The sequence below is a fragment of the Homo sapiens genome, chromosome 18 (genome assembly GCF_000001405.40).
Source record: "Homo sapiens chromosome 18, GRCh38.p14 Primary Assembly".
Lineage (NCBI taxonomy): Eukaryota > Metazoa > Chordata > Mammalia > Primates > Hominidae > Homo > Homo sapiens.
Window position 1 is genome coordinate 70,078,749 of NC_000018.10, and position 19,262 is coordinate 70,098,010.

Here is a 19,262-nt window from a genome sequence, read left to right on the forward strand (position 1 = left end):
AATTGAGACTGCAGATGAGAATGTAAACATAATCAACGCTCACAAAGCAAAAAGTAAAAATAAAACTATTAAAGATGGGTATTAGAAACGGCAGAGGAAAGACTGAAGAAAGGACAGGTACAATCTCAGCCATGTCTTACTCATCTCAAAATGGGTTGGGGTCAAAAGATATGATGCATGGGTGACAAAACCAGGAAGAGCAAGTGTGACCAGTGGAGAAATAAGAGCAGTAATACCACTATGGTACTATGAGATACTGTGGTATCTGCAGGAAATTGTGTACATGAGCTAAATCCTTAGGTACTAAAGTAGTGTATGAATAAATATATTATTGCAAACATGCTATTTAGATATACAGTGGTAACTCCCTGAAGAATTAAAATCAGAGGTAAAACTGTCTCAGTGAATGGAGAGGGACAGTGAATTTCACTATAAGCTCTATTAGCTTTTTTTTAACCATATGTATTTATTACTTGAAAAAAAAATTTCTTCTAAAAAGTTCAATTAGTGCATTCAAAATATTCTTGAACTGCTCAAAAGAAAACCGAGTAATCTGAAATAGGCACATATTACATAAAAATTATTTTATTTTTTATTTAACTAAGCATTAAGCCTGAATCCCCATTCTCTACACTTATTAAGAGAGCTTTATAATGGAGCCAAGCCCAGGATATGCACAAAGGATGGCCAGGCTCAGGCTTTCACAGATAACTAATGGTTCAAGGGCCAGAACAATGAAGTCTTTCATGCACACACTAGGCTCTGCTCCATACATCCATCAGTAATTGATGGGGTTATCTTCTAGCATAGTGGGGAAATTAGAGCAATCAGGTCTAATTGCTCTGTCTCAAGACTTCTGTATCATGACTAGCCTTGCCCTCAGGTGAGTTCTGGGGCTGCCAGATCGTCTGCTGAATTGCCAGAGAGAGCTGAGAAGGAAAGTAAGAAAGCTCTTCAAATCACCAGAATGCCATTACAAATACATTTACAAAGAAAACTGCAAATTAATTATGTCATATCAAGCTCCAATTAATTTGAAAACATCTTTATCAAGAATGCAATAAATCAGAATACTAATTTTAAAATGCATATTATACTCCTAGTGTCAGTGCTAATATACCCATTAGCTATAATTGAAAAGGTACTAGAAGCAAAGTAAGAATAACATTTAAGAAGATATAATATTTTCAAGGAGAAAAATGAATTATTGTCATATATAACAAAAATGCTATAATCCAAAGACTGTAAAAATGACCCTAAATACATTAGAAATCCAAAACTACATGTAAAATATGAATATCATTACAATGATATCAGTTTACCAAGTACTCATTGTCTTCTGGAAATACTCATGATGCTTCATAACAAACAAAAGATAAAAATAATACATATTAATCATATCAAATATCAAAATAATATATAACTATAAATGAGCTGACTATTTAAAACATATACACAGACAATTACTAGCTTTGTTCACTCACAGGACATAGAAGCAATGACACCCCAGGAACAATGAATACATCTAGAACGCAGATCTTGGTTTCTAAATACCATTCTCCATGAAAAGAAATCAGAGCCCTTGGAGCAAATATCTGATTCCAGGATGGAGCTGGACAGTCTAGAACACTTTGCTGTACCAGAAGTAAGGAAATGGCTCAAATATTGATAAAGACACAAGAACCATTATGAAGAAATTTCCCCTGGCCAAAGCAAGAATGATTTGAACATTGAAACAAATAATGATAGAAACAGATTATAGCCCATTAAACAAACTTAAGAATCTTCAATCCATGCTGGTGTAAATAAGTGAATCACTAAATAAGCAAGGAAGAATGAAAAGTTCTTCCTTACAGTAGCATGTAATAAACATAGAAAGAAATGATGGAGTTAGGAAATCATTTGGCAACAATTCTGTAATAACTGTTTCAGGTAAGAATCATGAATGGAATTTAAAACTAGGAAAACAGTGTGGAGATTTCTTAAAGAACTAAAAGTAGAACTACCAGTGGGATTCAGCAATCCCACTACTGGGTATCTACCCAGAGGAAAAGAAGTCATTATACAAAAAAGATACTTGCACACACATGTTTATAGCAGCACAATTTGCAATTGCAAAAATGTAGAACCAATTCAAATGCCCATCCACCAATGAGTGGATAAACTGGTGTGTGTGGTATCACACACACACACACACACACACACACACACACACACACACACACTATGGAATACTACTCAGCCATAAAAAGGAATGAATTAATGGTATTCGCAGTGATCTGGATGAGATTGGAGACTATTATTCTAAGTGAAGTAAGTCAGGAATGGAAAACCAAACATCAAATGTTCTCACTCATAAGCGGGAGCTATGCTATGAGGATGCAAGGGCTTAAGAATGACACAACGGACTTTGGGGACTTGAGGGAAAAGGGTGGGAAGGGGTGAGGGATAAAAGATACAAACTGTGTGCAGTGTATACTGCTGAGGTGATGGGTACACCAAAATCTCACAAATCACCACTAAAGAACTTACTCATGTAATCAAACACCACCTGTTCCCCAATAACCTATGGGGGAAAAAAAAGTAAAACAAAACAAAACAAAAAACTAGTGAAAGAAAGTTTGATGAGAAACAGATATTTACAGTCTCAGAGCACCTCCTTCCAAAAGAAAAAACTGTAACTTTACAAAGGACAAAACAGGCAGATTCTATCTTTACTAAGTAATCAAAGTTAGTATCACCAACAATGGGAAAGAGAGATATAATATCTCTTGACATGTTGCACTGAGAACCCATCACTTCTATGGTTTTTCTGCCAAAAATGCGTAACTCAAATCTAAACCTGGGGAAAAGGACAAATCTAATTGAAGTATATTACAACAAATAAGTAGCCTGCATTCTTCAAAAATGTTAAGATCATAAATATTTAAAATTTTGAAACTATTTCAGATGAACGAAAGCAAATATGTAAGACAAGTATATGCAATGTGTATTCCTGAGCTGGATCTTGGATCCAGGATTGGATTTTTTTTTCTTTTTTTTCTATTAAAAACAGCAGTGGGACAACTGAAAATCCTTGAGTAATCTCCTAATTATGATAATTATTATTGTGATTATGTAAGAGGATATCCTTATTTTTAGGAAATCCACACTTAAGTGTTCAGAGGAAAAGAAGCATTATGTCTACAACTCTCCAATAGTTTAGAAAGAAGACACTAGACAGAGCTGAAGTAAATGTGTAAAATAACATTTGGGGAATCTGGGTGAAGAGTACATAAAAATTGTATTGTTTCTACAAATTTCCTATAAATCTAAGTTTTTTCAAAATAAAGTTTAAAAAGTCTGTGTACCAATTCAAAGTCCTGTCACAAACATGGAAAGCAACTAGAGCATGAACAAGTTTATTTAAATCACAAACTGACAACCCATTATGTTATTTAAGTGCATGAAATTACCCTTTACATTTAAATGTGAGATCATTTTCAAGTGGAAAGAACTGAAATATTATTAAAATTATGCATAAGCTACCATCATCATACATAACATGATTATAACAATGTTTCCTGGGTACATGTCATCCCCTGTAGGCCATAAGCCCAAGAATACTAAATTGGATTATCTGTGAATCTCCAATATTTAGACACTCAACAAATGTTTACAGAAATGAACTGAGAAAATTACATCAATAATCCATCTCTAATCAATAGATTTCTTGTTATAATCAACTCTAAAATTGGTTGTTAAAGTTTCAGGGATACGGATTTCTGACACTAGTCTTCAAACTAAACCCAGTTATGAAACCATCCACATTCAGGAGTCTTAACTCCTAGTCAGACTGTGGGAAACTGGTCTGAAAAACACTGGACAGTTGGGAGCCACAATACAGTTTCGTGTCAACTGAATATTGGCTCTGTTTTCTCTTCTTGGCAGAGAATGTAGTATGCAGGGTTTTTGTTTTTAGAGACAGGGTTTTGTTCTGTCACCCAGGCTGCAGCACAGTGACACAATCATAGCTTACTGTGGCCTCAAACTCCTGGGCTCAAGCAATCCTCCTGCCTCAGTCTCCTGAGTAGCTAGGGACTACAGGTGCATGCCACCATTCCAGGCCAATTTTTAAAATTTTTTTTAGAGATGGGGTCTCACTATGTTGCCCAGGCTAGTCTCAAACTCCTGGGCTCAAGTGATCCTCTCACCTCAGCCTCCCCAAGTGTTGGGATTACAGGCATGAGCCACCACACCCAGCTGGGATGTAGCTTTGAATGAGGCTGAGTTTGACTCAAGAACAAGACCAATGTTTGTAAATATCCCTCTGAAAAGTTAGTGTCCTGAATATAAAAGAGCTGTGACACACCAAAGACTGACACAGCAGGAACTGGGTTCTCATATCCAGCAGGGGCCTGGTATCAAGGCCCCTGGTAGGAGTGCTAGATGTCAAGGGAAGACAGGCCGAGATACTTCATCTGCTCCTCCTCTTGGTGACCACCCCACTTCCAGTATGCTTCTGCATCCACAGAAAAATAAAAGGGGACTTATGCTATGAAAATTAAGGCTTTATTTCTAACTGTATTTACTTATGATATTAAGACCAAAAGGATAACTCAAATGTTTTGCACATTTTAATGAATCAGTCAAGACAGATGGAGCACTTACTTTCTCTGTGGTAGGGGTTGGGAGAAACATTTTTTAAAATATAAAAAATGTAGTCCTGTCAGAAACAAACATTCTACACAGGAAGATTAAGTTAAATGGTAAGAAATAATGCAAATATGGAAAATAACCTAATTTAGTGGTAAGACATTAAATGTTAGTGTCTTTAAAAGGAAGATTAAAATGGGAATTGCAGTGGTTGGTAAAATTATTTAATACTTTAAAAAAATAAATTGTTTTAAATTATTTACTTCCTATCTTGTCCGAGAAAAGATTTAAGGCCCATTACAAGGAAAGGTAAATTGTAACATGATAGTAAATGCATATCAGGAATAAAAGAAAGAAAAAAGCCAGAGATATGGAAAAAGTGCAACCATGAATAAAGCTTAGAAGGTAAGCTGGGTGTGGCAGCATGTGCCTGGGGTCCCAGCTACTCAGGAGGCTGAGGCAAGCGTATCACTTGAGCCCAGGAACTCAAGGCCAGCCTGGACAACACAGTGAGACCCCATCTTTTTTTTTTTTTAAGTACATACAGAAAAAGTCACAATTGATAAAAGGGCTCTACTTTCTGGCATCTAACAATAAAAGGGAAACTCAGCTATAATATTATTCATAATTCATATATGCATATTATTACTATTCACAAGTACAACAATTCTATGTCATGACATGAAGTAGGAATTTATGCTACTGTGCAGAGGAAGGAGAGGAAAAGGAGTAGTAATTATAAAGAGAATGCTTCAGAAAGCCTATGAAACAAGAGCACTAGCGGGCATTAATTTAGACTGCAGGCAGGAAAACAAAGTGCAAAGCAATAGAAGCAATTCTCTTTGTTAAAAAAAAAAAATCAAATATTTACCTCAACCAAAATAAAATTTTAACAAAGCTCCTAAACATGCTGTTTCATGCTATATCCTCCACAACACTATGAAAGGGACACTAAAATAAGTAAATGAAACATTTTGTTGAATAAGATTATTATTCATAATTCTACCAAAGACTGTTTGAATTTTAAAATACTGGCTATGTGGCCCCTTTTTCATGGTTGCAAAGGACCATGTGCCCCACTAGCTGCACCCAGAGACAACCATCTTGTTTCCTTCTTGCAGAAGCTGTTTCTACTTTGGAATTTCAGACCCCACTAAACTTTCTTAAAATTGGATGACAGATATACTGAGTTAACTATTTTCACTGCCAAGGAAGGACACTTACACAAACAAAAATAACCAAAAAAAAAAAAAGACTGAAAAGAGAGGAAGAAAATCTGAGTTTATTAAAAAGCATACAAGATTGTCCTTATTTATCTAATTTTTCCTAAGACTAGCAAAAGTTGTAATCAACTATTGTTTGGGACAGCAGTGGCTCTCCAACTTTTTTTATTTTGGCCAACTTAGCAAGGCCAAAACTCCAAAAGCTAACTTAAATCACTATTTTCCACTTTTTAGTAGAAAAGGATTTCCATGATGAAGACTGGAGAATAACAAAACCAATAAACTGCAGTAAGCATGCCACCAGCAACAAACAGGAACTTTACTATTTAATTTCTAAGAGAAAAATATGAACAGCTACATACGGTTCTGTATTACAACATAATGTCCCAGGAACTTTAATATACTCTGCCTTTATACTTATTTCAATAATTAAAAATTCATTGGTAGTACATCACCAAGTATATCCATGTACATGGGTCACTAGTTTAACAATGGGAGTAGAGATTATTTGTATTTGAGCCAAAAACAACATGTTTTAAAATGTAGTCTCCGGATAACAGGTACCAAAACTACTACACTATTAATATAACTATTAATCCTGCATATTCCCTCCAGTTTTGTCTCCTGGTTTTATTACAACATGGAAAGTAGATAAGCAGCCATTATCAGAAGGCAATGTTAAAGAAATTACGAGCAAATTACAAGCCTGGGATTTACAATGACTGGTAGGGTTACCCTGGGTTTGTAAAGTTTGGAGAGGTAAGCCTTCCAAGAGTTAAATGCTACCTGGGCCTTGACAACCACCTGGATTCATGCTTCGGGTCATGTGCGGAAACTTGCCCTTGCTACGGTTCAGCTTGTTTCACTAACTCCTCTAAGAGTATAGTCTAATTAAAACTTAAAAATAAACCTTAGATTTATACAGGATTTTGAGGAGTGAGGTGTAGCAATATGATAAATATATCCCTATAAGGTGAAAATATATGGATAGGTAAAAGGACAGAAACAGCACATCTTATATCCCCAATAAGTGTACTTTTGTATCTTCCAAATTACCTAAAACTGCAGCAACATGGATGGAGGTGGAGGCCATTATCTAAGTGAACTAACTCAAAAATAGAAAATCAAATATTGCGTGTTCTCACGTATAAGTGGGAGCTAACCAATGAATACACATGGACATAAAGACAGACATAACAGACACTGAGACTCCCAAGGAGGGAGTGGGGGAGGCGGCTGAGGTTATAAATTACCTAACTGGGTACAATGTTCAATATTTGGGTAATGAGTACACGAGAACCCCAATCCCCACCACCATTACGCAATATACTTATGTAACAAACATGTACATATATCCCATGAAGCTAGAATTTTTTTAATGTAAGCTATAAAAATGTTAGGTAACCATTTACTGATGTGATATTCAGAACATGAAAAAGAAAGTTAACCCAACAGAAAACAAAGCAAGATACACTATAACCCGCACTGTGCACTAACCTAGAAAAGGAAAAAAAGATGTTAACATCAACACATATTTAACTATCTACAAATTTGTTTATTATTACTAAATTAGAGAAGTAATACAGCAAAGTGGGTAAGAGACTGCCTAGACTCAAAGCAAAGGCGTACCACTGACTAGCTGTGTGATTTAGGACAAACTATTTAAACTCTCTATGCAAAAGTTCCTAAGCTTAGAAAATAAGGATAGTAACAGTTCACAACTCAAACAATTATACAAGTTACTATGTCTTACATTTCTAGAAGGGTGCCTAAAACATAGTAAACATATGTTAACTATTATTATTTGCTTTAAATTATTGTGAACACTATAGAGAAGAATTTTTAAGTCTGGTCGGCATAAGAACAAATTCTACGTTCTATTTTAAGAGGCCCTTGCTGTCTTGTATATAGTTTCATCAATAATGAAATATACTACTTATACTGAAAATTTATCACCAATTAATTTGAAACATCTACTAGGTTGATAATTGTTTAAAATCACCCACCTGCCAAGTATAATCCTTTATAATTTCTGTAGGCATTGGAATTACAAGGAGATTCTGAAGAATAAATGCCGCCTGAAAATGTAAAAAAAAAAAAAAAAAAAAAAAAAAAAAAAAAAAAAAAGGTCAATACTGCCATCTTGTGGTCATCTCTGAAATAACCAATATATTGTAATTAATAGCAAAAGACATCTCTGGTCAACTGCACATGCTGAGAGGTCATTATGAGAATTGTCAAACTGTATTTCTTGTTAGGTGATGACCTTCTTAGGTAATGACCTTGTTAGGTAATGACCTAACAGCATATGAAATTATTTCATCAGGAAATATATCTTTTCCTATTTCAGAATTCAGCTTTATTAAAAAATGATTTGTATAACATAAATTCTTCTGGTAGCATTTAAGAAATATAATTTTAGGTTTCTACTATCCCCTTTCAGATTACACACACACACACACACAAACACACGCACCCCTCTGCCCCGCTTTCTCCCTTCTCTTATACAGACTCCTTTCAATAAAAACTTGCTAACTAGAAATACAAACCACAAATGTCCAACTTGACTAGATCCTGAAGATGATCAAATTAAATAATCATACAAATAGGAGCATTGATTGTCTGCTTAATGAAAGATGAAATAACCATAATGGGAGAATGACAGGATTAACAAGAGGATTCTAAGAAACTGACATTTCCAACCATGATAACTAGAAGTGATGGAAAAGCTTTAAAGTTGATAAATCAAGAAGCAGCCATAAATATAAACATCACTACTTAAAAACATGAAGGCAAACAGCAACAAAACTAGCCTTTTGAGCTTGGAACTGGCGACTGCTAATGGTGGACCCAGGAGCTGCTGTTTTTTTTCATAAGCCTCTAAGTACAATTTGATTATTGTTTTAAAACCATTTACATGAATCATTACTTTAACAAAAGCAGCAATAAAAAAAAACCACAAGCTATTCAGAAAGAATTAAAATAGGGTTTATTTTTCCCTCTCATGTTATATGATAAATACTACAAAGAGTTATTTTGACAGCCTCTTATCTATACTAAAGCTTCATAAATATCAGAGACCCATAAATGCTGAGATAATATAAAAGTAATTTTTCCTGTGAACTACCTTTCAATGCATAATAAAAAAAGTTCACATTAAAATATAGTATATTCCGATTTTATCTTATCGGAAGGAAGGACTCCAGTTTTTCCTGTGCATGAATACCTTTTAAATCCTCTACTGTCATTTTGTTTGGGTGTTCACAGACAGAAGAGATCATGGTCAGTGGTCAGTCCACCATGTTGAGCGGCAGTCAAGTATCGCTTACGGATACCATCACAAAGAATTTCTAAGGAAAAAAAGGAGAAAAGACAGACATACCTCCCGGCGCACCATACTACATTCTGACTGGTCCAGAAGAATGTTCACCACAGTTCCCCAGAGCCCACCGGAAATGTTCTGACAACTGTTTGCTAAGGCCACACAGCCCGTTTCAAGGGTGGTCAGTGCTGATCCTAATCCCAGTGAAGTGAATCTCACCTGTTCAAATTAAAGAGAAAGTTGTTGAATCAAATAAGCCTTTTTCCTAACATGAATTCTTAGTTTTTCTGGTACATAAATATCACACTTTAAAAAAATCCATTGGTTTTATGATCCTAAATTATAAGAGACACCTATAGAAGACAGTGTCCTCCATTCCATGATTCAAGAAAGCAGTAATATAGGAAAAATTAAATATAAGCAAATTTCAAAGCAAAGTAAAACTGGGTATAAAAAGATGCATAAAAATTATAGTTTGCAAGCCTTTTTCTAAGGAAAGCATAGGGCACTTACATTTTATGAACACAATTTCAATTCTTCATTCTTAAAAAAGGTAGCTATTCTTTGTTCTACCTTTCTTAATTTTTTATTGTTTCTTCCAAATAAATGATTTTAACTTTCTTAAAACTTCTAAACAAAGAGGCAATTATCATTTTACAAGGCATTTCGTATTTTCCTCAAAAGTTATTCAAGAGAAAAACGTTCCCAAATAAGATTGATGTGGTATAATATGCTTGCTGTAGAACCACTGCTGTTCAAGCCACACGTTTTGGTAAATTTCTGAATTCGAATCCAAAAATATAGTTTCAATGACAGCTATAGAATTTTTTAAAAATGCAGTCATAAAATTGTCAAGTAGTAAGTCCAAGTTCAATGTGACTAAAAAATGTATTTCAAATATTTCTATAAATAAGATTTTATTGTAATAGCATATTTTACTTGAAAAAAGTAAACTGGCTAAAACTGGAAAGAAATAATACAAAATTTTGTATTGTAATGCAAATGCAATTTTTTGCATTTAATTTAATTTCATTATATGACACTTAAGTGTTGCATGTCTATAATTTCCAGATCCTTTTTATTTTTTTCAAAATTGCTAAGCTTCTCCAATAATTTTCCACTCTTCTGAAGGTAATAGATACTATAACCTTTTCTCTTTTATATTTTCAATCTATACTCGAACAAATTTGATTGAAAATGAGGGTGCTGTGTACTGAACTGTGTCTCCTCAAGACTCGTATGTTGAAGCCCTAATCCCCAACCTGTATTTGGAGACAGAGCTATTAGGTGATTACAGTTAAATGAGGTTATAAGGGTGGGACCCTACTGCACTAGGAATGGTGGCCTCAGGAAGGAGAGAAATCTTTCTCCATGTGCGTGCTCCAAGGAGAGGTCATATGAGCACACAGTGAGAAGGTGGCCCTCTGTAAATCAGGAAGAGTGCCCTACCAGAAACCAACCATGTTGACACTCTGATCTTGGACTTGCAGCCTCTATAACTGTAAGAAATAAATTTCTGTTTTTAAGCCACCCAGACAATGGTATTTTGTTATGGAAGCCTGAGCACACTAATACAGATTTTTGTACCAAGGAGTGGGGATGCTGCTGAAACAAATGCCTAAACACATGAAAGTGACTTTGGCACTGGGTAATGGGTTACAGGCTAGAAGAGTTTTGAGGTGGATGCCAGAAACGTAGACATGGGTAATTCTCATGAGATCTCAGACAAAAATGAGGAAAGTGTTATTTAAAAAAGGTTATTTGAGGAAAGGCAATCCTTGTTATAAAGTAGCAAGAAAACTGGTTAAGCTGTGGTCATGTTCTAGTGTTTTGTGAAAGGCAGAACTTGTGAGCAATGAAATTGGATATTTAGCTGAGAAGATTTCTAAGCAAAGTGTTGAAAAATTGGCTTGGTTCCTCCTGATTGCTTATAGCAAAATGCAAAGGGAGAGAGATGAATTAAAGAAGGAATTAAGAATGGGTAAGCAAAAAGAAACAAGAACAAGATTTGAAAAATTCTCAGCCTATCTGTGCAAAAAAAATGAGAAAGCTTGTTCTAAAGAGAACATGGAGGGTGTGGCTGAATACCCATTTAAGAAAAAGATCACGGGTGCAATTCATGGACTTAATCAGACATCTCAGCAGAAGCCAGGAATAGAGATGGGATTATATCAGCAAAGACATTGCCAGTTTGAACTAAAGAGGACAGAGAAAGATGCAGAGAATGAAGGAAAGCTGTTGGACTTCCTGGATTCTGTAAGCAAATATGTGCTACAGTGGTCCCTCCCTTATCCATGGGGAATACATTCCAAGACCCCCAGTAGATGCCTGAAACCACAGATAGTGCTGAGCCCTATAACTACTATGTTTTCTCCTACACATACATATCTATGGTAAAGTTTACAAATTAGGCACAGTAAGAGATTAACAATAACTAAAAATAAACTAGAACAATTACAACAATATGTTATAATACAAAATACATAAATGTGGTCTCTCTCTCAAAATATCTTATTGTATTGCACTCAGCCTTCTTGTATTGATGTGAGATGATACAATGATTACATAAAGAGATGAGGTGAGGTGAATGATGTAGGCATTGTGAGGGAGGGTTTGGCTACTACTGATCTTCAGGGTGCTTTTGGAAAATGAAACCTCTGATAAGGGAGGACTACTGTATTCTTCAATGAAAAGAATGACCCAAAAAATGATTCAGAGATCCCCAGGCTGCTAATCCCACCACAGGACTCAAGGGTGGCTTTTCCTCCTTGGTTTCAAAGACCTCTGATTTCTGTGGGCCAGAATGATGACCCTGCCCAGTGCTTCAGGAACATGGCTGCCCTTGAAGACAGCTTTATGGGCGGGGCTCTTGAAGACAGCCAAAGGGGTGGGGTCATCCCACAGAGCCATCTAGACAGATGCTGTCACTCTGGTGGGCCTGTAAGGCACACCATCAAGCCAAAGAACATTATCCTTGAGCATTAACATCTAATGAAATTTGCTTTGCTAGGCTTTGGACTTGCTTGGGACCCATCACTTCTTCCTTTTTTTCCTATTTCTCTCTTTTGGAATGGGAATGTCTATTCTACCATCATCTTTTGGAAGCATATAACTTGTATGGGTTCACAGGTTCACACCTGCAGAAGAATTCTGTTTCAGGAGGGTTTATATCTGGAGACTTACCCAGATGTGGTTTAAATGACATTTAGATGAGATTTTGGACTTTAGACTTTACAGTTGATTTGGGAATAAGTTAAGACTTTTGAGGTTGTTGAGGGAGAATAAAAGCATTTTGCATGGAAGAAGAACATGAAGTTCAGGGGCTCAGGGATGGAAAACTATGAACTGAATTGCGTCCCTCCAAAACTCATATGTTGAAGTCTTTATGCTCAAGTGACTACATTTGAAGACAGGGTTTCTAGGAGATAATTAAGGTTTAAAGAGATCATAAGGGAGTGGTCCTATCTCAATAAGACTGGTAACATTATAATAAAAAAAAAAAGACAAATCTGTCTCTATACCACCCCTCCCTCCCCTGCCCCACATGCATGGACCAAGGAAAGGCCACGTGAATACACAGCAAGAAGGCAGCCGTCTACAAGCCAGAAGAAGAGCCCTCACCAGAACTTGACTATGCCGGCACTCTGATCTTGGACTTTCAGCTTCCAAAACTTCTATGAGAAAAGAAGTGTCTGTTGTCTAAGCCACCCAGTCTGTGGTATTTTGTTATGGCAGCCTAAGCTAAAACAGGGCTTAAATAAAACATAAGGTAGAGTCACTACAATAATCCCATAATATAACTATGTATATGTATATATGTTTTGTGTCTTTTTTTTTTTTTTGAGATGGAGTCTTGCTCTGTTGCCCAGGCTGGAGTGCAGTGGCACAATCTCAGCTCACTGCAAGCTTCACCTCCCAAGTTCACAGCATTCTCCTGCTGCAGCCTCCCAAGTAGCTGGGACTACAGGTGCCTGCCACCACACCCAGCTAATTTTTTTATATTTTTAGTAGAGATGGGGTTTCACTGTGTTAGCCAGGATGGTCTCAATCTCCTGACCTCGTGATCTGCCCACCTCAGCCTCCCAACAAGCTGGGATTACAGGCATGAGCCACCGCACCTGGCCCCGTGTCATTTGTTTTTTAATCTAAACACAATACACTTGATTCTCCTTCACACTCACCTCTGGGTCCCGATCAACCCATAATGGAATCAACCAAGCCAATCCTTGTTGAGTAGGAATATGTTCTTCACTATGACTACCCAAAGGCAAGAACCAAAGTGACATCCACTCCTAGAGGGAAAAAAGGGAAACAGAAATATTTGAGGTAAGTTTCTAAAAATAAAATGCAGGAAGGTTAAAACAAGAATTTTTAATGAAAACAACGTGAAAATGTATTTTAGACTTGGTTTTAATCCATTATTCAGCCAAAAAAGGCAAACAAAAAAATTTGTTTCTCTTTAAAAAGTTAAACATAACAATTTTTTGACAGAAGCTATTTTTCCCATAATGTAGACAAAATGTAGTTTTCCAGTGTATGCACATTTGAATCAATTTCAAATAAGATTCAGATTTGTTAATATACAACTTCTAAGAAATATTCTAGTCAAAAATCATTCACGTTACCTAAAAAGAAAAGTCAAAAGAGACATTTTCATGTGGCAAGTTTATATGCTTGAAATGTGTTGGACACAGCACATTCCCTTTCAAGCAAATGTTCAGAAGATAGACAGCTTTAACGCGCTCACCAAGCTCCCAGCCTGGGCCATCATCTCATGGGATAAGTGAAGCAAGCAAAGAATTGTGCTCTTTGTAACACCTTTTCCCATGAAGGACATAGCATTTCCTCCACGCTCCACATAAAAAGAAGTAATGACCTGAAAAACAAATGTAAACAATTTCATGGTGGCTTTATTCTCAATGGTATATAAAGATAAATATATAACTGTCTACTGACTTGTATGAATTGAATCCTTACCTTATAAAGTTGTAATATTTTTAGTTTATATACTTAAAAATGAATAAGATGGTAAATTTTATGTTATGGGTATTTTACCATTGTTAAAAGAAAATATTCTTCAGCCTACATAACATAGCAAGACCCAGTCTACTTTAAAAAAGAAAAAAATTAGCCAGGCATGGCAGTGGACACCTGTAGTCCCAGCTACCGGGGAAGCTGAGGAGGGAGGATCCCTTGAGCCTGGGAGCTGGAGCTTGCGGTGAGCTATGATTGCACCACTGCACTTGGCCTAAGTTACAGAGTGAGATCCTGTAATTTTTCAAAACAAAAACAAAAATTCTTAGTTTCAATATTTTTCCTTTTAAAGTCTGTAAAAAAAAAAAAAAAGATGTGTGGTGCCCTCCTAGTACACAGTTGTAACTTAGAATATGCTTATAATATTTTTAAAAATGTTATAGCATCCTTTTAAAGAGTTTATGAATAATTTGTGCTGGTTTTCAAGGGGAATGCTTCCAGCTTTTGCTCATTCAGTATGATATTGGCTGTGGGTTTGTCACAAATAGGTCTTATTATTTTGAGATATGTCTCATCAATACCTAGTTTATTGAGAATTTTTAGCATGAAGAGATGTTGAATTTTATCGAAAGACTTTTCTGCATCTATTGAGATAATCATGTGGTTTTTCTCACTGGTTCTGTTTATGTGATGGATTACATTTATTGATTTGCATATGTTGAACGGGCCTTGCATCCCAGGGATGAAGCCAACTTGATCATGGTGGATAAGCTTTTTGATGTGCTGCTGGATTCGGTTTGCCAGTCTTTTATTGAGGATTTTGCATTGATGTTCCTCAGTGATAATGACCTGAAATTTTCTTTTTTTGTTGTGTCTCTGCCAGATTTTGGTATCAGGATGATGCTGGCCTCATAAAATGAGTTACGGAGGATTCCCTCTTTTCTATCATTTGGAATAGTTTCAGAAGGAATGGTACCAGATCCTCTTTGTACCTCTAGTAGAATTCGGCTATGAATCCCTCTGGTCCTTTTCTTGGTTGCTAGGCTATTAATTATTGCCTCAATTTCAGAGCCTGTTATTGGTCTATTCAGGAATTCAACTTCTTCCTGGTTTAGTCTTGGGAGGGTGTATGTGTCCAGGAATTTATCCATTTCTTCTAGATTTTCTAGTTTATTTGCGTAGAGGTGTTTATAACACTCTCTGACGGTAGTTTGGATTTCTGTGGGATCAGTGCTGATCTCCCTTTTATCATTTTTTATTGTGTCTATTTGATTCTTCTCTCTTTTCTTCTTTATTAGTCAGGCTAGTGGTCTATCTATTTTGTTGATCTTTTCCAAAACACCAGCTCCTGGATTCATTGATTTTTTTTGAAGGGTTTTTTGTGTCTCTTGTCGCCTTCAGTTCTGCTCTGATCTTAGTTATTTCTTGTCTTCTGCTAGCTTTTGAATTTGTTTGCCATTGCTTCTCTAGTTCTTCTAATTGTGATGTTAGGGTGTCGATTTTAGATCTTTCCCCCTTCCTCCTGTGGGCATTTGGTGAAACACTGCTTTAGCTGTGTCCCAGAGATTCTGGTATATTGTGTCTTTGTTCTCTTTGGTTTCAAAGAACTAATTTATTTCTGCCTTAATTGTGTTATTTACCCAGTAGTCATTCAGGAGCAGGTTGTTCAGTTTCCATGTAGTTGTGCGGTTTGTAGTTAGTTTCTCAATGCTGACTTCTAATTTGATTCCACTGTGGTCTGAGGGGCTGTTTGTTATGATTTCCATTCTTTTGAGTTTGCTGAGGAGTGTTTTACTTCCAATTATGTGGTCAATTTTAGAATAAGTGCGATGTGGTGCTGAGAAGAATGTATATTCTGTTGATTTGGGGTGGAGAGTTCTGTAGATGTCTATTAGGTCCGCTTGGTCCAGAGCTGAGTTCAACTCTTGAATATCCCTTTTTTTTTTTCTGAATATCCTTTTTAATTTTCAGTCTCGTTGATCTAATATTGACAGTGAGGTGTTAAAGTCTCCCACTGTTATTGTGTGGAAATCTAAGTCTCTTTGTAGGTCTCTAAGAACTTGCTTTACGAATCTGGGTGCTCCTGTATTGGGTGCATATATATTTAGGACAGTTAGCTCTTCTTGCTGCATTGATCCCTTTATCATTATGTAATGCCTTGTTTTTTTTTTTATCTTTGTTGGTTTAAAATCTGTTTTATCAGTGATGAAAATTGCAACTCCTGCTTTTTTTTTTCTTTCCATTTGCTTGGTAAATCATCCTCCATCCCTTTATTTCAAACTTATGTGTGTCTTGCATGTGAGATGGGTCTCCTGAATACAGCACACTGATAGGTCTTGCCTCTTTATCCAATTTGCCAGTCTGTGTCTTTTAATTGGGGCATTTAGCCTGTTTACATTTAAGATTAATATTGTTATGTGTGAATTGATCCTGTCATTACGATGTTAGCTGGTTATTTTGCCCATTAGTTGACGCAGTTTCTTCATAGCATCAATGGTCTTTATAATTTGGTATGCTTTTGTAGTGGTTGGTACTGGTTGTTCCTTTCCATATTTAGTGCTTTCTTCAGGAGCTCTTGTAAGGCAGGCCTGGTGGTGACAAAATCTCTCAGCATTTGCTTGTCTGTAAAGGATTTTCTCCTTCGCTTTTGAAGCTTAGTTTGGCTAGATATGAAATTCTGGGTTGAAAATTATTTTCTTTATTAATGAATATAGGCCCCCACTCTCTTCTGGCTTGCAGGGTGTCTGAGAGAGATCCGCTGGTAAGACTAACAGGGATGGGCTTCCCTTTGTGGGTAACCCGACCTCTCTGGCTGCCCTTAATATATTTTCCTTCATTTCAGCCTTGGTAAATCTGACGATTACATGTCTTGGGGTTGCTCTTCTCGGGGAGCATGTTTGTGGTGATCTCTGTATTTCCTGAATTGGAATGCTGGCCTGTCTTGATAGGTTGGGGAAGTTCTCCTAGGTAATATCCTGAAGAGTTTTTTCCAATTTGGTCCATTCTCCCTGTCACTTTCAGGTACATCAATCAAACGTAGGTTCACTCTTTTCACATAGTCCCATATTTCTTGGAGGCTTTGCTCATTCCCTTTTGTTTTTTTTTTTTCTCTAATCTTGTCTTCTTGCTTTATTTCATTAAGTTGATCTTCAATCTCTGATATCCTTTCTTCTGATTCATCGATTCGGCTATTGATACTCATGTATGTGTCACGAAGTTCTGGTGCTGTTTTTTTCAGCTCCATCAGGTCATTTATGTTCTTCTCTAAACTGGTTATTGTAGTTAGCAATTCCTCTACCCTTTATCCAAGGTTATTAGCTTCCTTGCATTGAGTTAGAACATGCTCCTTTAGCTTGGAGGAGTTTGTTATTACCTACCTTCTGAAGCCTACTTCTGTCAATTCACCAAACTCATTCTCTATCCAGTTTTGTTCCCTTGCTGTCAAGGAGTTGTGATCCTTTGGAGGAAAAGAGGCATTCTGGTTTTTGGAACTTTCCGCATTTTTGCACTGGGTTTTCCTCATCTTCATGGATTTATCTACCTTTGGTCTTTGATGTTGGTGACCTTTGGATGGGGTCTCTGAGTGGAAGTCCTTTTTGTTGGTGTTGATGCTATTCCTGTTTGTTAGTTTTCCTTCTAACAGTCAGGCCCCTCTGCTGCTGGTCTGCTGGAGTTGGCTGGAGGTCCACTCCAGACCCTGTTTGCCTGGGTATCACCAGCGGAGGCTGCAGAACAGCAAAGATTGCTGCCTGTTCCTTACTCTGGAAGCTTCGTCCCAGAGGGGCATTGCCAGATGCCAGCAGAGCTCTCCTATATGAGGTGTCTGTCAACCCCTGCTGGGAGGTGTCTCCCAGTCAGGAGGCACGGGGTTCAGGGACCAACTTAAGGAGGTAGTCTGTCCCTTAGCAGAGCTTGAGTGCTGTGCTGGGAGATCCACTGCTCTCTTCAGAGCCGGCAGGCAAGAATATTTAAGTTTGCTGAAGCTGTGCCCACAGCTGCCCCTTCCCCAAGGTCAAAAATTTAAAATTTTAAGTGACTACTTGAAAAATAAAATATCTAAATGATCAGATCCTTATTATCTTCCTCTAAGTCATCTTTGGAGATATCTAACATCTGTGATCTGTGTAATGATTTTTAATTCTAGCTTATAAATGACAAGCCAAGACCTTTGCCAGTATTTTCTTTCAACTTGATATTTTTGTCAGACCTCTGGAATTATACATCATGTATCTGATTTAAAGATTTAATTATCATAGTTTATTCACCTATCATAATTAATCATGCTTAGTTAAAAAGTCTCATTTCACAGCTACAAAAAGCAAATACTCATATTCAAATTTCACTGTGCAGAAACAAGCTAATCTTTTATTAGAAATATGGCTCCCTTCCAAAAAGGAAACAGCTTTAATTACTAAGAAACTATGAAGCAAATCATTTGGACCAACAATGACTTTGTTTCAATGTTCTCTCACATAAGCCTTACTTTATTCTTTAAAAGATGAATTTAGTCATTAGTAGTACAACAGGGATACCTGTTTATGTAATTAATAAACTAAGCAGATAGTCCCAAGATTAAATGTTACCCTGCTACAATTTTTAACAAAAGTGACGGATTCTTTCCTAATATTTGCCTGCCATTTAACATAAAGTCATAAAGATTTTCTGCTCGAGATGTTTTATGAAGCACAAAACGACCTCCTTTTTAAACCAAAGCAAGATTGGCTAATCAAATTTTTTATAACTGCGAAACATTACATAACAGGGACTGTGCTTTTTATGTATCCTTTAGCTAACAAACTGTTACTAAATTTTATTACCTCAAAGACAACTGAACACAGAATGGACTACTGCCTTTTTGCCTACACTTCTTACCTAAAACTAAGCCCTTTTGTTCTCCAATACATTAACAGTTCATTTCAATTTCTGGTATTTGAAACGTAGGTGTGATCTAAAGTCTTTGCACGTAATTTTAAAACAAAAGCACTTCTGATAGTTTCTAAACATAAATGAGGCAACACTTCACTTCTTCTTTAGTTACCGCTGTGGCAGGTCCTCACCTATTCCTGATTTCAAAGAGTAAAACTCATTTTCTAGAGGAGACTGACTCT

The 19,262-nt window shown here is 36.4% G+C and overlaps 1 protein-coding gene across 18 annotated transcripts in view; it reads right to left on the minus strand.

Moving 5' to 3' along the window:
* RTTN (rotatin) overlaps positions 1 to 19,262 on the minus strand; it is a 202,657-nt gene that overhangs the window by 75,718 nt on the left and 107,677 nt on the right. For all 18 annotated transcript variants that reach the window (XR_430072.4, XR_007066140.1, NM_001318520.2 and 15 more), the window contains 4 exons: positions 13,928 to 14,056; positions 13,362 to 13,472; positions 9,241 to 9,399; positions 7,865 to 7,936 (listed from right to left, as the gene is read on the minus strand). Coding sequence is in view for 16 of the 18 variants with exons in the window: in NM_001318520.2 (NP_001305449.1) it covers positions 7,865 to 7,936; positions 9,241 to 9,399; positions 13,362 to 13,472; positions 13,928 to 14,056 (471 nt within the window). In the remaining 2 variants the exon portion in view is untranslated. The remainder of the gene's footprint in view (positions 1 to 7,864; positions 7,937 to 9,240; positions 9,400 to 13,361; positions 13,473 to 13,927; positions 14,057 to 19,262) is intronic.